Source organism: Homo sapiens, chromosome 20 (genome assembly GCF_000001405.40).
Source record: "Homo sapiens chromosome 20, GRCh38.p14 Primary Assembly".
NCBI lineage: Eukaryota > Metazoa > Chordata > Mammalia > Primates > Hominidae > Homo > Homo sapiens.
The window spans coordinates 40,666,849-40,669,198 of NC_000020.11; the positions used below are offsets into that span (position 1 = coordinate 40,666,849).

Consider the following 2,350-nt stretch of genomic DNA (forward strand, 5'->3'; position numbering starts at 1 on the left):
ATCTTGCCAAGTTTTAAAATGCAAATGTTTTCAAGGCACAAGGTAGAAAGTGGACAGATGTGAGGCTCCAGGGAGAAGTGAGGCCTGTGTCAAACTGCACAGCGTAAGCTCCGTGTAAAAACATTCAAATCCCAGTTTTCAAAGCAGGCAGTCAGCTTTTGACCTCTATAGTCTTTGAAAAGAGAGTGAAGGCCGGGCGCGGTGGCTCACGCCTGTAATCCCAGCACTTTGGGAGGCCGAGGCGGGCGGATCACGAGGTCAGGAGATCGAGACCATCCCGGCTAAAACGGTGAAACCCCGTCTCTACTAAAAATACAAAAAATTAGCCGGGCGTAGTGGTGGGCGCCTGTAGTCCCAGCTACTTGGGAGGCTGAGGCAGGAGAATGGCGTGAACCCGGGAAGCGGAGCTTGCAGTGAGCCGAGATCCCGCCACTGCACTCCAGCCTGGGCGACAGAGCGAGACTCCGTCTCAAAAAAAAAAAAAAAAAGAAAAAAAAAAGAAAAGAGAGTGAAAAAAATGTGGTATGTGTGGGTATGCAGGTGCTGCGTGTTTGTGTGTGTATGGGGTGTGTGTGCATGTGGGGTGTGTGTGTGCATGTCCAGTATGTATGCATCTGTGGTGTATATGTGTGCATATATGTGTGTATATGTGTGGTATGTATGTGGCTTATGTATGTGGTATGTGTGTATAATGTGTATGTGCAAGTGGCATGTGTGTGGTGTGTGTGCGTGTGTATGGTGTGTCATAGTGTGTGTGCGTGTGTGTAGTGTTTGTGGTACACTTGCATGTGCGTGGTGTGTGTAATAGTGTGTGTGTGCACATGGTGTGTGTGTACAAAAATGTGTGTTGGGGGATGGTGTATGTGAGACTGTGTGTGGTGTATGTGGATTGTATACATGGTGTCTGTTTCTGTGGTGTGTGTGTGCATGTGGAGGGGTGCATGTGTGCATGTGTGTGGTGTGTGTAATAGTGTGTGTGCACATGGTGTGTGTACACATATATGTGTGTGTGAAGGGATGATGTATGTGAGAGTGTGTGGTTTATGTGGATTGTATACATGGTGTCTGTTTCTGTGGTGTGTGTGCATGTGGGGGGTGTATATGTGCATGTGTGTGGTATATGTGTAATAGTGCGTGTGTGCATATACAAGTTCATGATGGCTTTGTAGTGGGAGAAAAGAGTTTCAGGACTCTGAGTCTTTTTTTTTCTGTTTACATTGTACATTTTCTTAGTTTTTTAAAACAAGCTTATACAAGTATCCCAAAAGTCTTAATGCAAGTTTAAGCTTAACAAACTATTACTCCTTTAATCAGAAAAAAACAAAGACAAAAAAGGAAATATATGACAAAAGTCTGTGTAAAAACGTTACACCAGGAAAATCAGCAATGTTTGTCTTACAGTTTCAGTACCACTGGGTATTCCTGATACTGACTCGAGTCAAGGCTGGTGGGAAATCTGTGCTCCCTCCAGCCCCAGGGACATAGCAGGTCTGCCTGGAGAGTCGCTGCTTGGGCCCCAGAGAAAGTCAGCAGCATCTAAAGCCAAAACACGGGATGTTTTCTGGAGTCCTGCACACAGGCACAAGCAACACACACAGAGCTCTATGCACAAATCCCCCTTTCAGTGCACATTATTTGTTCTCAGCAAGCCCTGGTCTAGGCCGTGGCAGATCCGGCTTCCACAGCTGACTGCCCCTGACCCTGGACATGGCATTGTTACTTTCTGACCCTTGACTTGCCCCTCTGCAAAATGAAGTCAGATAAAAGATAATGCATCCAAAGTGCCTATTGCAGGACCTGATACATGGTAGGTGCTCACTAAATAGGGTTTATGAAGAAGAGGAAGCCCACAGCCCATCCCCGCTCCCTGGGCTCCAGCCAGATAGGAGTATGTCATAGGAGGCCTGCTGGCCGCCTGGAGAGAGCAGAGTCCACTGATCTTATCAGGTCAGCCTCACTCTGCCCCACGCAGAGCTGACTTCTGTCCTCTAGCCACCCAGACATGTGGTCCCAGATGAATCAGTACATGTGTAACATGATCTGGTGGCCCCAAGGCTCAGAGTCATCACTGCTTACCTATGAGGGAAGAAAGATAATCCCCTTTTGCAGATGGGAAAGCTAAAACTAAGGTTATTTAACTTCTATTTTTACATCTTCTGTCATTGATTCATTTGATGTTTAAATGAGATGTGTGTGAGAAGTAGGCACTGCATGAGGCTTGGGCCAGGAGGAGACAGCAGTAAACCAGACCTACAATGTCCATGCTGCCACAGAGACAGGACCAGCTTCACCGGCATGCGACCTGCATAGTCACACAGGACTCTGCAGTTAGAAAGGGCAATGCCTGGTT

General features: G+C 47.1%; 1 annotated feature.

Moving 5' to 3' along the window:
• Positions 1,821–2,115: an enhancer, noted in NCBI's record as "tiled region #10482; HepG2 Activating DNase matched - State 5:Enh". NCBI's record gives its function as "activates a minimal TATA promoter and a strong SV40 promoter by Sharpr-MPRA in HepG2 cells {active_cell/tissue: HepG2}" and the evidence as "EXISTENCE:reporter gene assay evidence [ECO:0000049][PMID:27701403]".